Here is a 19166-nt window from a genome sequence, read left to right on the forward strand (position 1 = left end):
ACTGATAACTATTTCTCATCATTTGCTGATAGAAATATGAATTGCTACATCTTTTTTTTTTTGAGACGGCGTCTCACTCTTGTTGCCCAGGCTGGAGTGCAATGGCGCAATCTCAGCTCACTGCAACCTCCACCTCCCACAACCTCCACCTCCCAGGTTCAAGCGATTCCCCTGCCTCCGCCTCCCAAGTAGCTGGGATTACAGGCGCCCATCACCACACCCAAATATAATTTTTATATTTTTAGTAGAGATGGGGTTTCACCGTGTTGGCCAGGCTGGTCTCAAATTCCTGACCTCAGGTGATCCACCTGCCTTGGCCTCTCAAAGTGCTGGGATTACAGGAGTGAGCCACCACACCTGGCCTGCTACAACATTTTTGAAAAGCAAACTAGCAAATTATTCAAATTAAAAATATGTATACCCTTTGACCCAAGAATCCCACAGTTGGATATTGTTCCTGCTGTAATCCCAATGCTTGGAAATATAGCCACCAGATGTGAGGACCTATGTAAAGTATATCCATTGCAAGACTTGTCCACAATGGCAAAAAATCAGAAGCAAAGTAAATGTCTACCTACAGGGAAACACTTGAATAAAATGTGGGTTATCTATTCCCATGGAATATCATGCAGCCATGAAAAAGACTTAATTAGTGCTCCATCAGTTGATGAGAAAAGATTTCCATTACACAGGGATATTAGGACCAAGTGGAATGATGGATACAAATACCTACTGCAAGCTGTAAAATGCTTAACAAACATATGTAAGGTCATGTAATACATTTGTGCTGATATTTGAAAATGCAGTATTAATAAAACAGCACCTTCTGTCTATTTGGGCTTCCAACTAAGCTTGGTAACAATGCTCCTTACTGCCTGAAGGGTTTTGAGGGATCTAGTCTACACAGTATTTCAGATGTGTCATGAAGGTTTTCATAACTGCCTCGAGGCCAGAGGCACAAAGTGATGCCTTATTTACCAGCTTTCTTAGGGAATAACATATACCTCAAGTTATTCTTCCAGAAACCAGGCACTTCTCCTTTTTGGTGCCAACATATCTTGAATGTTGATGTTTTTTGATGAAAATCTTGCTAAAATGTACTAGTCCCCCACCCCCTCTTAAGCAGGAGACATTACGAACATTCTTCATAAGGAATGCCAAGTAATACAATGCAGTAGAGAGTTTTCACTTTTTCTGTCGGCCCCCTTCAAAAGCTGGTGGTCTGCTATCATATCTAAAACACCTTCCAAACACCTCTTTTAAGTTTGCAATTTCCCATCATTTTCGTTTTGCCTAGAAAGCTAGAAAAATCAAGTTTGTGAAGAGCTGAACATTAAATGCCAATAGATATGACTCTTAATATGGTGAAAAAAAAATTAGGCTGGGTGCAGTGGCTCATACCTGTAATCCCAACACCTTGGAAGGGTGAGGCAGGAGGATCCTTTGAGCCCAGGAGTTCGAGACTAGCCTGGGCAACAACAACAAAAAAATTAGCCATGTGTTGTGGTATGCACCTGTAGTCCCAGCTACTTGGGAGGCTGAGGCGGGAAGATCCCTTGAGCCCAAGAGATAGAAGCTGCAGTGAGCCAAGATTGTGTCATTGTACTCCAGCCTGGGTGACACAGTGAGACCCTGTCTCAAAAATATATATGTAATAATAGTAAAAATAAACAAAGAACGTGGCTTTTGGATTGTGACTGTGCTCTCAGAGGCCTTTCCTGAAAGCTTCCAGAGGGCAGTCTTCCAGATGAGCGAGGGTGCTGTCCCTGCAGAGCTGCTCCTGCACCTGTTCATGAGGTGTTGTCTGAAGAGCAGAGGCTTGCCCAAAAACAAGACACACACCACGATGCTCCACAAACACAGATGTGCAAGTTAGCTACTACGACCTCTCAAACAGCAACAGTCAAACAGTATTTCTGGACTGAAATCAACAGAAGACAGGCAGAGCAAGATGGAAGAATAGAAGTCTCCACCCATCAACCTCCACCCGACCCATGCCCCACAAGAACAGGAAGTTAATAACTATCTACACAGAAAAAAATACCTTTAGAAGAGCCAAAAATCAGGTAGGCCCTCGTAGTACCTGGTTTTATCTTCATATTGCTGAAAGAAGCACTGAGGAGTCAGAAGAATAGTCCCGAATCACCACACATTTAAACCAGCCCAAGCCTGAGGGGAATCTCTGATTCCAGCAGTGGGAAATTGAGTTCCCCCAAACCTCGCCACTGTGGGCTACAGTGCTCTGTGTCTTTAAATCAGCTTGAAAGTCCGTCTAGGCCATAAGGACTGCAACACTTAGGTGAGTCCTAGTGCTGAACTAGGCCCAGAGACAGTGGATTCGGGGGGCACGTGGACTACTGAGACATCAGCCAAGGGAGTGGTGGCATCACCCCTGCCCTAACCCCAGGCTGCACAGCTCATGGCTCCAAAAGAGACCTCTTCCTTCAGTTTGAAGAGAGGAGAAGAAAAAGTGGGAAGAGCTTCGTCTTGCATCTTGGATACCAGCTCAGCCACAGAAGGATAGGGCTCAGTCAGAGTTGTGAAGTCCCTTTTCCAGGCCCTACCTCCCAGGTGACATTTCTAGACACACCTTGGGCCAGAAGGGAACCTGCTGCCTTGAAGGAAGGACCCAGTCCTGGCAGCATTCATTACCTGCTAGCTGAAGAGCCCTTGGGCCCTGAATAGCCAGCAGTGACACCCAGGACCTTGGGTGAGCCTCTGAGACTTGCTGGCTTCAGGTACCAGTACGGCCACAGTTGGGTAGAGCACTGGGCAGCCTCCTGGGGTCCCCAACTCTAGGACTTGACTCTTGAATGGCATTTCTGGACCTGCCCTGGGCCAGAGGGGAGCCTAGTGCCCTGAAATATGGGTTGCAGGCCAGGCAGTACTTACCACGAGCTGACTTAAGAGCCCTAGGGCCTTAACGGCCTGGCAGTACTTCTCATGGCTTGGGGTGGCGGTGGCTGAAAAGTAAGACTCCTCTGCCTTTGGAAAGGGGAGGGAAGAGTGGGAAAGACTGCAATTGTGGTTTGAGTACCAGCTCAGTCACAATACAATAGAATACCAGGTAGACTTCTAAGGTTTTCCACTTAAGTACATGATGCCCGGAGAGCACCTCTGAGTCTGCCCAGAGGCTTGGGGAATCTCGCTGCCCTAAAGGGAAAGCCACAAGCCTGGCTGGCTTTGCCACCTGCTGATAGTAGTGCCCCAGGGCCCTGAGCGAACACAGGCAGTAACCAGGGCGTGGTTATGGCAGGTCTTAGGCAAAAGCCAGTACTGTGCCGGCTTCAGGTCGGACACAGCACAGTCAGAGTGGTGGTGGCCACAGGGGTGCTTGTGTCACTCCACCCCCAGCTTTAGGTGGCTGAGAACAGAGAGACTGTTCGTTTGGGAAAGTAAGGGAAGAGAACAAGAATCTCTGCCTGGTAATGCAGAGAATTCTCCCAGATCTTGCCCAAGACCATCAAGGCAGCACGTCTATGAGTCTGCAGGAACCACAGCATTACTGGGCATGGGTGACCCCTAAAGCAGAAACAGCTTAGAATACAACACCCAAGTCCTTTCACATATCTGGAAAACCTTCCCAAGAAGGACAGGTATAAATAAGCCCAGACAGTGAAGACTACAACGAATATCTAATTCTTCAATGCCCAGACACCAAAGAACATTTACTAGCATCAACACCATCCAGGAAAACATGACCTCACCAAATAAACTAAATAAGGCACCAGGGACCAATCCTGGAGAAAAAGAGATATGTGACCTTTCAGACAGAGAATTCAAAATAGTTGTGCTGAGGAAACTCAAAGAAGAGACAAAGGTCACTATATAATGATAAAGGGCTCACTTCAACAAAAGGATATCACAATTTTAAATATATATTCGGGCCGGGCACAGTGGCTCACGCCTGTAATACCTGCACTTTGGGAGGCCAAGGTGGGTGGATCACCTGAGGTCAGGAGTTTGAGACTAGCCTGGCCAACATGGCAAAACCCTGTCTCTACTAAAAAATACAAAAAAAATTAGCAGGCATGGTGGCAAGTAACTGTAATCCCAGCTACCCAGGAGGCTGAGGCAGGAAAATCACTTAAACCCCAGAGGTGGAGGTTGCAGTGAGCTGAGATCGTGCCACTGCACTCTGGCCTGGGCGACAGAACAAGACTCCATCTCAAAAATACATACATACATACATACATACATACATACATACATACATATATATATATATATAAATTAATTATATATATACACCCAACACTGGAGCACCCAGATATAGAAGGCAAATATTAGTGCTAAAGAGAAAGATAGGCTCCGATACAATAATAGCTGGAGACTTTAACACCCTACTTTCATCACTGGCTAGATCTTCTAGACCAAAAATCAATAAAGAAACATCTTTATTGATGAAAGATGCAGATTTAATCTACACTATTGAACAAAGGGATCTAACAGATATTTATAGAACATTTCATCCAAAAGCTACAGAATACACGTTCTTTTCCTCAGCACATGGATCATCCTCAAGGATAGATCATATGTTAGGTCACAAAGTAAGTCTTAAAACATTCAAAAAAATTGAAATAATATCAAGCATCTTCTGTAACCACAATGGAATAAAACTGGAAATTAATAACAAAAGGAATTTTGGAAACTATACAAATACATGAGTGGGGCACAGTGGCTCATGCCTGTAATCCCAGCACTTTGGGAGGCCAAGGCAGGTGGATCGCTTGAGGTCAGGAGTTTGAGACCAGCCTGACTAACATGGTGAAACCCCGTCTCTACTAAAAATACAAAATTAGCCAGGCATGGTAGCACATGCCTGTAATCCCAGCTACCTGGAAGCTAAGGCAGGAGAATCGCTTGAACCTGGGAGGTGGAGGTTACAGTGAGCCGAGATATTGCGCCATTGCACTCCAGCCTGGGTGACAAAAGTGAAACTCTGTCAAAAAAAAAACAAAGAAAAAGCAAATACAAGGAAATTAAGCAACATGCTCCTGAATGACCAGTGGGTCAATGAAGAAATTAAGAAGGAAACTGAAAATTTTCTTGAAACAAATGATAATGAAAACACAACATACCAAAACCTATGGATACAGCAAAAGCAGTACTAAGAGGAAAGTTTATAGTGTAAGCCTACATCAAAACGGGGAAAAAACTTCAAAAAAACAATCTAATGATGAAACAACTAGAAACACAAGGGAGAACGAAACCCAAAATTAATAGAAGAAATAATAAAGATCAGAGTAGAAATAAAATGCAATTGAAATGAAAAAGACAATAGAAAAGTTAAACAAAACTGACAAACTTTTAGCCAGACTAAGAAAAAGAAAAGATTCAAATAAATAAAATCAGAAATCACAAGGTCAGGAACTTGAGACCAGCCTGACCCACATGGTGAAACCCTGTCTCTACTAAAAATACAAAAATTAGCTGGGCATAGTGGCATGCGCCTGTACTCCCAGCTACTGGGGAGTCTGAGGCAGGAGAATCAGTTGAACCCGGGAGGCGGAGGTTGCAGTGAGCCAAGATCGCGCCACTGTAATCCAGCCTGGCGACAGAGCGAGACTCCTCAAAAAAAAAAAAAAAAAATCAATCATATCAACAGAATGGAGGATAAAAACCATATTATCATTTTAATTGATGCAGAAAAAGTATTTGATAAAATTCAAAATCCCTTCATGATAAAAACCCTCAGCTGAATGCAGTGGCTCACTCCTGTAATCCTAGCACTTTGGGAGGCCGAGGTGGGTGAATCACTTGAGGTCAGGAATTTGAGACCAGCCTGGTCAACATGGTGAAACCCCATCTCTACCAAAAATATAAAAAAATTAGCCAGGTGTGGTGGCGCACACCTGTAACCCCAGCTACTTGGGAGACTGAGGCATGAGAATCCAGGAGGTGGAGGTTGCAGTGAGCCAAGATCATGCCACCGCACTCTAGCCTGGGTGACAGAGGAAGACCTTGTCTAAAAATATATATATAAATCAAAATAGATTAAAATCTTAAATCTAAGACCTCAAACTATGAAGCTACTAAAGGAAAACACTGGGAAAAATCTTTAGGACATTGGTCTTGGCAAAAATTTCTTGAGCAAAACCCCCCAACAAACAGACAACCAAAGCAAAAATGGACAAATAGGATCACATCAAGTTAAAAAACTTCTGCACAGCAAAGGATAAAATCAACAAAGAGACAACCCACTGAATGGGAGAAAATATTTGCAAACTACCCATCTGACAAGGGATTCATAACCAGAATATGTAAGGAGCTCAAACAACTCTATAGGAAAAAAATCTAATAAACCAATCAGATATGGGCAAAAGATTTGAACAGACATTTCTCAAAAGAAGACATACAGATGGCAAACGGAATATGAAAAGGTGCTCAACATCACTGATCATCAGGGCAATGCAAATCAAAACCACAATGAGATATCATCTCACCTCAGTTAAAATGGTTTATATCCAAAAGACAGGCAATAGCAAATGCTGGTAAGGATGTAGAGAAAAGGGAACCCTTGTACACTGTTGGTTGGAATGAAAATTAGTACAACCACCACGGAGAACAGTTTGGAGTTTCCTTAGAAAAGTAAAAATTGAGCTACCATATGATTCAGCAATCCCACTGCTGGGTATATACCCAAAAGAAAGGACATCAGTCTATCGAAGAGATATCTGCACTCCTATGTTTGTTGCAGCACTGTTCACAATAGCTAAAATTTGGAAGCAACCTAAGTGTCCATCAACAGATGAATGGGCCGAGTACGATGGCTCATACCTGTAATCCCAGCACTTTGGGAGGCCAGGGCAAGTGGATCACCTGAGGTCAGGAGTTTGAGATCAGCCTAGACAACATGGTAAAACCCTGTTTCTACTAAAAATACAAAAATTAGCTGGGTGTGGTGGCGGGTGCCTGTAATCCCAACTACTAGGGACACTGAGGCAGAAGAATCGCTTGAACCCGGGAGGTGGAGGTTGCAGTGAGCCAAGATCGCGCCACTGCACTCCAGCCTGGGTGAAAAGAGCGAAATTCTGTCTCAAAAAAAAAAAAAAAAAAAAAAAACATATGAATAGATAAAGCAAATGTGGAACATATACACAATGGAGTTCCATTCAGCCATAAAAAAGAATAAGATCCAGCCATTTGCAACAACATGGATAGAACTGGAGATCACTATGTTAAGTGAAATAAGCTAGACACAGAAAGACAAACATCACATGTTCTCACTTATTTGTGGGATCTAAAAATCAAAACAATTGAACTCATGTACATAGAGAGTAGAAGGATAGGCTGGGAAACGTAGTGGGAAGCTATGGTGGGGCAGGAGATGGAGATGGATAATGGGTACAAAAAAATCAGAAAGAATGAATAAGACCTACTATTTCATATCACAACAGGGTGACTATAGTCAATAATAACTTAATTGTATATTAAAATAAGGAGTGTAATTGGATTGTTTGTAAGTCAAAGGATAAATGTTTGAGGGGATGGATACCCCATTCTCCATGATGTGCTTATTTCACATTGCATACCTATATCAAAATATCTACTATCTACACCCACTATGTATAAAAATTTGGCTTGGCACAGTGGTGCACATCTGTAATCCCAACACTTTGGGAAGTGGAAGCAGGTGGATCACTTGAGGTCAGGAGTTTGAGACCAGTCTGGTTAACATGGTGAAACCCAATCTCTACTGAAAATACAAAAATTAGCCAGGTGTGGTGGTGGCGCCTGTAATTCCAGCTACTCCAGAGGCTGAGTGAGGCAAGAAAATCACTTGAACCTGGGAAGCAGAGGTTGCAGTGAGCTGAGATCACACCACTGCACTCCAGCCTGAGCAACAGAGTGAGACCCTGTCTCAAAAAAAAAAAAAAAAAAATTAGCCAGGCATGGTGGCACACACCTATAATCCCAGCTAAAATTGCCAACAAAAATAGAAAATAAAATAAATTGTTAAAGAATAAAAGGACATAAGGAACCAAAAACAAACAAACAAAAAAACAAAAGAGAAGTAGCTGCATGAAGGAGATGGGTGTTTAGGTTGGCTCGTATTGAAGGGTGATTATTTTGGGTCAAGTGGATTCACCCACATGACTAGTATTTATGGAGTGCCTGTTCCTTGTCAGCCACCTTATTAAAACTGAAATGAATTGTAGACCAATACAAAGTTCTTTCCTAAAATAACTTATGCTCTATAAAACAGTTTCTGAAAAGCATTCCCAAACCATTTGTGGTTTTTGCCATATCCCAGTCCCATCTATACTATTACCTAATATTTTAGTAGATTATCCAAATTAACTCTATTTTTCCCAACAAACAAATATATAACAAAATAAAAACCGGCTTATCTGTTAACCACTACGATTACCTGGAATATCATTAACCTATGATACTTTGGACATACCAGTCTGGTGAGATCACGTTACTGATCTATATTACCATTAAAGCTCAAATATTAGAGTCCCATGCAGAGCTGATCAGATCGTTAAGCTGAACCTCTGTTTCAAAGGGCCTTGCAGGCAAAGGAGATGAGAACTACCTATGGAGAGACATTTAGATTCCTACTCATAAGCCTAATGGAGATGACTATACCCAAAGATGCTGAAGAATACATGTAATTTACTGATGAGCTTGTAACCACTAAGGATAAGATGGATTGATATGGAGCCTTAGATGAGTGGCTAGAGAAGTTGGTAAAGGGAATAATATATTTAGAATGCTACAGACAAAGAGAAAGCCATACTTTTTAACAAACTGATCTCAATGCTTAATTGCTTTGTTTCTAACAAGCTAGAGAAAATATTTCCGTCTGCAGTCATTTTGTTATTACTCAAAAAACTGACCTCCTGAAGTAAATAAAGCAATGGCTAAACAACTCTTAGTGGCAGAGAATAGACACTAGGGAGACCGTAAACTATTCGCAGGTGCAGAATTCCTTCTCAGACCTCAAAAGCTGTAGTAATAGAAAGGAGGCATTGGCCAAGGTCAGGCTAAGTTTGAGTTATGTACTAAAAGTTCTATTAAGGACAGCCAAAGACTGGCCTCTGTTACAGTCTGTCTTTGGTGGTGGGAACAACCAAATAAATCAGTCAGACACCAGCCGGGCCCAGTGGCTCACGCCTGTAATCCCAGCACTTTGGGAGGCCAAGGCAGGCAGATCATGAGGTCAAGAGATTGAGACCATCCTGGCCAACATGGTGAAACCCCCGTCTCTACTAAAAATACAAAAATTAGCCAGGTGTGGTGGCGCGCACCTATAGTCTCAGCTACTTGGGAGACTGAGGCAGGAGAATAGCTTGAACCCAGGAGGCAGAGGTTGCAGTGAGCCAAGATCACACCACTGCACTCCAGCCTGGTGACAGAGCGAGACTCAGTATCCAAAAAAAAAAAAATCAGTCAGATATCTAGTTATCCTAAGGCACGTAAAGCATGCTTATGAGTGACTAGAAGGCAAGTAGAAACAAGGATTTCAGATAACAGAATCAAAGTAGACAAGCTGGAAAAAGAAGCAGTGAAGCGATATAATTTAATAGGAATAAATCTAAGGCTGGTATCTAGTCAGAAAAATTGGCAGCACACAGCCAAAGTGTAGTATTGGGTCAAAAAAAGAAAGAAAGAAAAAAATTGGCAAAAAATTGGTAAGTCAAAGTGTAAAGAAGATGTAGTTAAGCAGCACATCAAGCAAGGCTTTAACTCAAAGAATCAGGAATATGAAGAGGCTGACAACAGAACAAACCTAATCTAAGGATCTGTTGCAGGTCATAAGAAGGAAAACAATGAACTTGAGGTCATGGGTGTGAAGGGCAGAAGAGATGTGTAGAGTTGCCATACTATATCAGAGGAAAGAGATAATGACATGAGCACCTCTGTGCTTAAGAGAAATCTAGCAAACAGAGGTCAATCCAGAGAATACTGGCTCCAGTGGTGATTTCAGAGAACCCAGAAGATAGAGTAGGTGAGAAGTAGTATGGGGGCTACTTGAATGGAAAACATTAGCTCTGAGGTTGGGTTCCTCTTCTGGCTTCAAAGGAGAGGCTCTCATAATCACATTGTTGGGGTAAACTACTGGACACAGGGACTTGAGTGAGTACCTTCTGTCTCTCTCCAGACTACCCAGAGATTTAGGCCAAATGCTACAAGGGGCCATTGCATTGTCAGGCTTTATCAACAGAGGCAAAATATTTAGACCACTGAAAGGAATAGCCAGCTGTACTCTGGGTAAGAAACCTCAACTCTGGCTTTCCATTTTGAGCACCTCACTTTAGAAGGACATGACATTGTCAGAAGGACCTGACTCACTTGGAGATCCTACACTATGCTGGCTGAAAGGAGGCCATGATTCACAATAGAGACATCTATAATATGGCCATAGACATCCACAGCATTTCCAGGATCAGAAGTAGAAACTCCACCAACTAGAGGCTGTCCCGTGGTCACTGTTTAATGTGAGCTCAATATACCGTGTGTTTCAGAAATACTCTGATACCTCTTAGGAATGAATTATATTCATTAAAGAGGTATACCTCAGTAATGAGGAATTTAGTTTCTTTGAACTTTTCTTTTTTAACTCACTAGGTTACTTCGAGAAATCAGACCATACAAAGTAGTTATCAATGATAAAGAGAAGTGAGAAATCAACTGATAACATAAGCAAGCTGTTGATACAACATTTTCAATTGTTAAAGGCAACACAACAGAGCTAAGTCTAGACACAAGATAACCAGAGCTCACTGCCATGATAGATAATGTCCCCCATATTGGGTAATCAATGTATTAGTTAAGAAGGTTGCAAATATATGACTCAATCAAGAGAAGAGAATTTCTTTACTTTTTAATTTTTAATTTTACTTTTGAGACAGGGTCACTCGCTCTGTCACCCAGGTTGGAGTGCAGTGGCATGATCTTGGCTCACTGCAACCTCCATCTCCTGGATTCAAGTGATTCTCGTGCATCAGCCGCCCGAGTAGCTGGAATTACAGGCATGTGCCACCATGCCTGGCTAATTTTTGTATTTTTAGTAGAGATGGGGTTTCACCATGTTGGCCAGGCTGTTCTTGAACTCCTGGCCTCAAGTGATCTGCCCGCTTTGGCCTCCCAAAGTGCTAGGATTACAGGCATGAGCCACCACACCTGGCTAAAGAGCATTTCTAAAATGAGTATTATTTCTGACCGATAGAGGAAAATTTCAACCCCAGGAAAATTTCAACCCCAGTTCACTGTTTTTTTTAGACACATTCCTGAGGTCTGAGAAAATCTAAGGGAACATAGCACCTCAAATAAGTTTAATAAATTACATTTAAACTACAATAGCTTCATTTAAAGAGTACATCTGGGACTCAGTGCTTTAACATGAGCCCTTTTAGAATCAGTTCAAGTCATAATTTGAACTCACACCTGGGTTTTGCCTGTCCTTTAAAAAGTCAGCTCGGCCAGGTGCAGTGGCTCACACCTATAATTCCAGCACATTGGGAGGCTGAGGCGCAGAGATCATTTGAGCTCAGGAGCTCGAGACCAGCCTGGGCAACATGCTGAGACCCCCCCTCTCTATCAAAAACACAAAAAATTGGCCAGGCGTGGTGGTGCACTCCTGTGGTTCCAGCTACTCGGGAGGCTGAGGTGTGAGAATCACTTGAGTCTGGAAGGCAGGAGTTGCTGTGAGCTAAGACTGCACCACTGCACTCCAAACTGGGTGACAGAGTGAGACCTCGTCTCAAAAAAAAAAGTCAGCTCAGCCAAAATCCTGAAACTATGACTCTTTAGAGTCAAATCAAGCAGAGATCAGTAATAATGTATCAAAGTTCTCCTTTTTAAAAAATATACTATGCAATGGCTAGGAAAAGAGCAGCACTAAAAACTTGGTTTTAGAACTATTTAAGGGAAAAATGTTTAAAAAATTAAGGGTTGTCTGGGTATGGTGAGGTGTGCCTGTAATCCCAGCTACTTGGGAGGCTGATGCACTTGAGCCCAGGAGTTCAAGTCTAGCCTGAACAGCATCTCCAAAAATAAATAGATAGACAGATAGATAGATAAATAAATAAGTAAATAAATAAAATTAAGGGTTGAGTATAAATGTCCCTGTTTTCAGATCTGGCCTTAATGTGAACCTGGGCACCCCATGAAAGGGCCCTGGCTGACTTAGGCCATTTCCTAACATCTGGAGCAACATAGCTTCTTGGAAAGCCCATTTATCTGGTGTGCTAAAAGGTTTTAAACATAATGTGATCATAATCTTCTTGGCATGTGTCATACAGTACATCTAGCCAGGCCTAAAAACCACCGTAACCTCATTAATATTCCCACTAAATATGGTGTCTTTCTGGTCGCTAAAGCAGGGCCTCCACCAACAGACAATACAAAGAATGTCTAAACATAAATTTTGGCTGGGCGCGATAGCTCACACCTGTAATTCTAGCACTTTGGGAGGCCGAAGCGGGCGGATCACTTGAAGTCAGTAGTTAGAAACCAGCCTGGCCAACATGGTGAAACCCCATCTATACTAAAAATACAAAAAAACATTAGCCGGGCATGATGGTAGGTGCCTGTAATCCCAGCTACTTGGGAGGCTGAGGCAGGAGAATTGCTTGAACCTGGGAGGTGGAGATTGCAGTGAGTCGAGATCACGCCACTGCACTCCAGCCTGGGTGACACAGCCGAGACTCCATCTCAAAAAATAAATAAAAATAAAAATAATAAATAAATTTATTTTTTTATAAATAAAAATATTTTATTAATAAAAAAACTAAAAATAATAAATAAATTTTTAGTTTTTCAACTATGAGCTGGAATGCTGTTGTTTAGAAAGCAGATGACAGATGCCTAGAAAATTAAAGTGGTGGCCAGGCGCAGTGGCACACGCCTGTAATCACAGCACTTTGAGAGGCCGAGGTGGGTGGATCACCTGAGGTCAGGAGTTCGAGACCAGCCTGACCAACATGGAGAAACCCCATCTCTACTAAAAATACAAAATTAGCCAGGCATGGTGGCGCATGCCTGTAGTCCCAGCTACTTGGGAGGCTGAGGCAGGAGAATCTCTTGAACCTGGGAGGCGGAGGTTGCAGTGAGCCAAGATAGCACCACTGCACTCCAGCCCAGGCAACAAGAGTGAAACTCCGTCTCAAAGAAATAAAAAAAAGAAAGAAAATTAAAGTGGCAGGCTGGGCGCAGTGGCGCATGCCTGTAATCCCTGCACTTTGGGAGGCCGAGGCAGGCGGATCACCTGAGGTCAGGAGTTCAAGACCAGCCTGACCAACACGGAGAAACCCCGTCTCTACTAAAAATACAAAATTAGCTGGGCGTGGTGGCACGTGCCTGTAATCCCAGCTACTCAGGAGGCTGAGGCAGGAGAACTGCTTGAACCTGGGAGGCGGAGGTTGCGGTGAGCCAAGATCACACCATTGCACTCCAGCCTGGGCAACAAGAGCAAAACTCCATCTCGAAAAAATAAATAAATAAAAATAGATAAAATTAAAGTGGCAATGTGAAAACAGCTTTTCCACACCAACAAATGTCTCAGATATAGCAAACCCACAGTTATTAATTTTAGAAGCAATCTAGGGTAGATTTTTAAAAATCAGAGGGGAAACAGTTGGGATTTTATTTTGTTTTTACCTTACAAAGGATGAGACTTACCATTTTTCACATTCTCAAGTGCTAGGGTTATGAAAGATTTTAAAATTACCTTTGTGCCCTTCCCACAGTTTAAGAACTTACTTATTTTCCCATAGCAGGGCTTCTGTGTCAATGCCTCTGCCATATGTTTATGGAGTGCAAAGAGTTCTATGAGGGCTGCTCTGTTTAGCCTTAAGATAATGTTTTCATGAAACACAGAGGGGTGGGCTGACAGTATCTGGCACAGTCTGGTTTCCTGCTATGCTGCTTGGAAATGGGGCTGGAGGTATGGGTATAAATCAGTCCAAAACCAAGTGCTAGTGTCATATAGTGAACAAAGGGCAAGAAAATCGTTAAAAATGTGAAATGAGTAACTATCATGGTATCACCCCCTCAGGGTATAGAGATGCAGAGCACCCTGGCTATAACACAACCTCACGGGCCTCTGTTTCCCCTAGCCTATGAGGGGTTTCAACAAGTAGGAATAAGCACTCACCAAAAGACTGCTAACTTACTTCTAACACCTGACTTCTAGAGTTGAATCTGAATGTTCTACTGAGATAAGTATTTAGAAAAAAGGCAATGGACTTTTTTCCAATTCTTTATCTCATAAACAACCTCTACACTCAACTATGAGCAGGAAAGATGAATATTTAAATCACTGTAAAGAGTTTTCATATTAAAAATGATCACAAGTCCAAGGGAGGAGACATGAAAGAACAGAGGAGGACAGGAGAGTCAGAAGTCAGGACGTGGAAGGAGAGCATGGACAAAAGGTTCTATTCCATTCAAAGATCTTTACCTTCCTTTAGATAACCCAAACTCCCTTTAAAAAACTATTTCTAGTCAAGGGCTCTGGGACTCCCAGTACTTCAAAATAAGCCCAGGTAGGATTAGTTCAGATGATACTTGAACTCACTTCTGAGTGTTGTTTCCTCTAGGGTCAAGTCAAACATAGCTATAGACACAGCTAGGAAGCTTTCAAGCCAGGTCAGGCAGGGACCACTAAGAGCAGCAAGATAAAGGCTGGGTTGTATGAATCCCAACTAAGGATAGGAGTAGAAATAGTCTGAGAACAGGTCATCTCATCCTTACTTCTTTTGCTATTGAGTCATTGTATATATTCCTGCTGTGGTCAGGAACAAAGTACAGTATTATCAGCATTTCTGTTAGTATGGTTCCTAATGGAAATATGGGTCATATTAGTCTTCGTGTAGGCTAAAAATATACACCCTTTGGTAGTCTAGTAAATGCCCAACATGTGTCAACTAAACAGAGAGAGAAAAAAAGATTAAATATATTAAGTACTTAAGGTACTTGCAAAGAATGGTACAATGGATAAAAGGTCATTAAATAAAAAATTGACTATTCTAAAGAACATGCTACTCAAAGCAAATATTTTGTGCTTAGCTATCACAATGCCTTTTTTGAGACAGGGTCTCACTCTGTCACGCAGGCTGGAGTGCAATGGTGTGATCTCGGCTCACTGCAACCTCCGCTTCCCAGGCTCAAGTGATTCTCCTGCCGTAGCCTCCTGAGTAGTTAGCATTATAGGCACGTACCACTACCGTCCAGCTAATTTTTGTACTTTTAGTAGAGATGAGGTTTCACCATGTTGGCCAGGCTGGTCTCGAACTCCTGACCTCAAATGATCCACCCGCCTTGGCCTCCCAAAGTGCTGGGATTACAGGCATGAGCCACTGTGCCAGCTACAATGTTCTTTAAATAAAAAGTATTAGAAAGTCCAAAATTGGCAAACTAAAAGTCGCTCTGGTTCCCAACATGAAGCTAAAATAGAGTCACGGGAACACTTTGTCAATGGTATACTGATTTCAACAACGATTTTTCCTTCTTATATGGAGACATTTTAGATATGACAGATAATCTCAAATAATCAAAAGATAAAGAATTACAAATACTAAAGGGAATATCAACCACAATGTCAATGCCCCACTACTACATGGACATGCAGTTGCTATTTCCTTGCCCTGTCCGAAACCCTCTGTAGATATAAAATACATGGTAGATGGGACACATTTGGAAAAAAAGGGACTAAGAGAAAGGGAAAAACAATCAACTGCTTATTAAGCTTCTGCATTTGAGCATGAAAGAAGGAAAGAAGCTGCAAACACAGTGTTTTTCTCAACTGGGTTCTCTAAAACATTATTTCCAAGAAATGACACATTTTTCCATGATCGAAACAAATTTGTGAAAAACTGCATATTGCCTCCTTCTTGGGTCTTCACAATGAAGATTAGTATATGAAAGATTATAATATGTCATAGAATAAACCAGCCTTTCTTTAAACAAGCATTTCCAAACTCATTTGACTCAGCAAAATTTTTTAAATAAAATAGATAATAAAATCCCAGGAGACTCATGTTTTATGGAGCATACTTTAAGAAACACAGAGGAACTAATTGTAGGGACTTTTTCCCTAGAATATGGGTAGAGAAGACCTGCCTGCTGAGATCTCTTCCTCTGTTTAAAAAATTCAGATATGGCCGGACACAGTGGCTCACACCTGTAATCCCAGCACTTTGGGAGGCCTAGGAGGGTGGATTACCTGGGATCAGGAGTTCAAGGACAGCCTGGTCAACATGGAGAAACCCTGTCTCCATTAAAAATACAAAAATTAGCTGGGCTTGGTGGTGGGTGCCTGTAATCCCAGCTACTCCGGAGGCTGAGGTGGGAGAATCACTTGAACCCAGGAGGTGGAGATTGCAGTGAGCCAAGATTGTGCCACTGTACTCCAGCCTGGACAACAAAATGAGATTCCATCTCAAAACAACAAGAGCAACAACAAAAATAAAAATAAAAATAAAAAACTCATATATAAGCTTCAAGTCAGTGACAGGTTTAAAAAAAAAAAAAAAACTCAAATAATCAACCAACTTTACCCCGATTTTGCCTGAAATATTTAACTCCCTTTATCACCTGAAATTCCAATTAGATTGTTTTTAATAAGCATCTTCCAGAAGAGTTCAAATATTAGTCATCCATGGTTTGACATAATGTGTTATCAGTGCTATCGTATATTGACAGAGTGCTTTACAGTTTTCAAAAACACTTTCATTTACACACACACACACACACACACACACACACACACACACTTCCTTCAAGCTATATAATAAGTGATACAGTCAAGACTAAAACCCCAGATTGGCTGATTCTAGTCTAGTATCCTTTCTACTAGTAAAAATATTTCTATGGGATGTATTGGGAAACTATAACCAATGTCTACTGCATGATGCATTTAAAGTTGTAAAGATCTGATTTACAAATTTCTAGCGGACAACATGACCAAGCTGAGCTAGACAATGGTTGTGTTGGGGGGCAGCAGGAGTTGCCCCAGATTTTTATAAACAAATTTTTCATATCTATCAAGTCATATGTTTTTGCTAGGCTAAGGGATATTCAACTGATTCTACACTTTAAAAATTTTCTCATGACTGTCCGGGAGCGGTGGCTCACACCTGTAATCCCAGCACTTTGGGAGGCAGAGGCAGGTGGATCACGAGGTCAGGAGTTCAAAACCAGCCTGGCCAAGATGGTGAAACTCCATCTCTACTAAGAACTACAAAAAAAAATTAGCTGGGCACGGTGGCAGGCGCCTGTAATCCCAGCTACTCGGGAGGCTGAGGCAAGAGAATCGCTTGAACCCAGGCAGCAGAGGTTGCAGTGAGCCAAGATCGCACCACTGCACTCCAGCCTGGGCAACAGAGTAAGACTCCATCTCAAAAAAAAAAAAAAAATTTTTTTCTCATGACCACACAGAGTAGACAATACAAAACCAGCCACATAAAAGAATTACCCATTTTCAATGATCTCATTTTCATACTACAAAAATCTTTCATATGTAAATGACCTAGATTTCCATTACATTTAAAAAACTGGATTTAGCAAAGCTTTTACATCTTAAGAGTTCATTTGGCATCACTTCTAAAAATACCACTAGAACAGAAAGAATGTGTACAGGTGCCATCTTTGGCTCTTATTGTGTTTAAATACTTTAAACTCAGTTTTTTATAGAAACACCATTCAAAGGAATATAAGCAAAATTTAATCCTAACCTGTATTTCATTTCAGGTTCAAAATCTTTTCAGTATCGAAAAGATACTGGTAAAAATACCACTTTCAAGACTGAAATGAAAAAAGCCTTCGATCCTTTAAATGAAAAAACATACCCAGTTGTCTACATCTATAAAAGGAACTTAAGTCTTTACATGCATGTCTTGACTAACATCCAACCAGAATGTTGACAGATTGGCACCTATGTTAACCTTTTTTAAAGTATCAACTTCAACTATTTCATTTTCCTTATATCAAGGATACTTAATGGAACTGAATAAATACTTTAAAAGGAAAAAAAAAAGAGCCAACAATTAGCCTTTGGACGTATGATTAGGCCATAGCACAATTTAAATAGGCCAGGCTCAGCAATAATACAAATCAACATCTGCCTGTTCAGCCTAGTAACTTCCCAGAGCATTTCTTCAACTGTCATGGTTTATCTGCGCAATAAAGTGTGAGGTAGTTAGGCTGGTGTTCTTATTACCTCAGGATAATGAAATCAAGCCTCTAAAGGTTAAGCAGTTTGCCCAAGATCATACCACGATTGGAAAAAGCTAGGAATAGACCCAGATCTCTGAATTCCTAAGCCAGTACTTTTGTTTGTTTGTTTGTTTTGTTTTGTTCAACTACAGCAATGGTTCTCTAGGAGGTGGGGACAGAGTTGAGTATGGGATGTATCCCCCACTTACATACTAATGATCATGCCTGTGACTGCCCCACTCTATTAGAGTTCTAGGGAGCCTCTGTTACGCACGAGTGTAACATACACCTCAAGTATGCGGAGGCAGAAGAAATGCTGAGAATTATGTGCTGAGTATCATACAACATTGACATTGTCAACACAGGGACAAATTACCAATCAGCCAATAACTAGTAAACATGAGCCATAAGGTAAGCCTTTATTTATTTATTTCAAGATGCTAATGACTTTTTTCCTTAGAAGTAAAAACTAAGGCATGAATCTCTGTCTTTTTTTTTTTTTTTTTTTTTTTTTTTGAGATAGGGTCTCACTGTGTCACCCAGGCAGGTACAATCGTAGCTCACTGCAGCCTCAAACTCCTGGGCTCAAGGAATCCTCCCATCCCAGTCTCCCGGGTAGCTGTGACTACAGGCATGTGCCACTATGCACTGCTAATTTTTTTTATTTTTTGTAGAGACTGGGCCTCACTATATTGTCCAGGCTGGTCTTGAACTCCTGGCCTCAAGTGATCCTTCCACCTTGGCCTCCCAAAGTTCTGAGATTACAGGTGTGAGCCAGTGCGCCTGGCCGTATCTGTGTCATTTACAACAAAATGTTTCAGAGGCCAGGCACAGTGACTCATGCCTATAATCCCAGCACTTTGGGAGGCCAAGGTGGGTGGATCACCTAGGGTTAGGAGTTTGAGACCAGCCTGGCCAACGTGGCAAAACCCAGGTTGGAGTTCAGTGGTGCAGTCATAGCTCACTGTAGCCTCAAGCTCCTGGGCTTAATAGAT

The 19166-nt window shown here is 41.8% G+C and overlaps 1 protein-coding gene across 21 annotated transcripts in view, besides 1 other annotated feature; it reads right to left on the reverse strand.

The window, feature by feature from the left end:
- Positions 1 to 19166, reverse strand: part of CPEB3 (cytoplasmic polyadenylation element binding protein 3) — a 244542-nt gene that overhangs the window by 7687 nt on the left and 217689 nt on the right. The gene's annotated exons all lie outside the window — the stretch shown is intronic.
- Positions 2706 to 3207: an enhancer, noted in NCBI's record as "NANOG-H3K4me1 hESC enhancer chr10:93816841-93817342 (GRCh37/hg19 assembly coordinates)". NCBI's record gives its function as "activates a minimal SCP1, AML or CMV promoter by ChIP-STARR-seq in naive H9 embryonic stem cells {active_cell/tissue: H9 hESC(naive)}" and the evidence as "EXISTENCE:reporter gene assay evidence [ECO:0000049][PMID:30033119]".

The sequence above is a fragment of the Homo sapiens genome, chromosome 10 (genome assembly GCF_000001405.40).
Source record: "Homo sapiens chromosome 10, GRCh38.p14 Primary Assembly".
Lineage (NCBI taxonomy): Eukaryota > Metazoa > Chordata > Mammalia > Primates > Hominidae > Homo > Homo sapiens.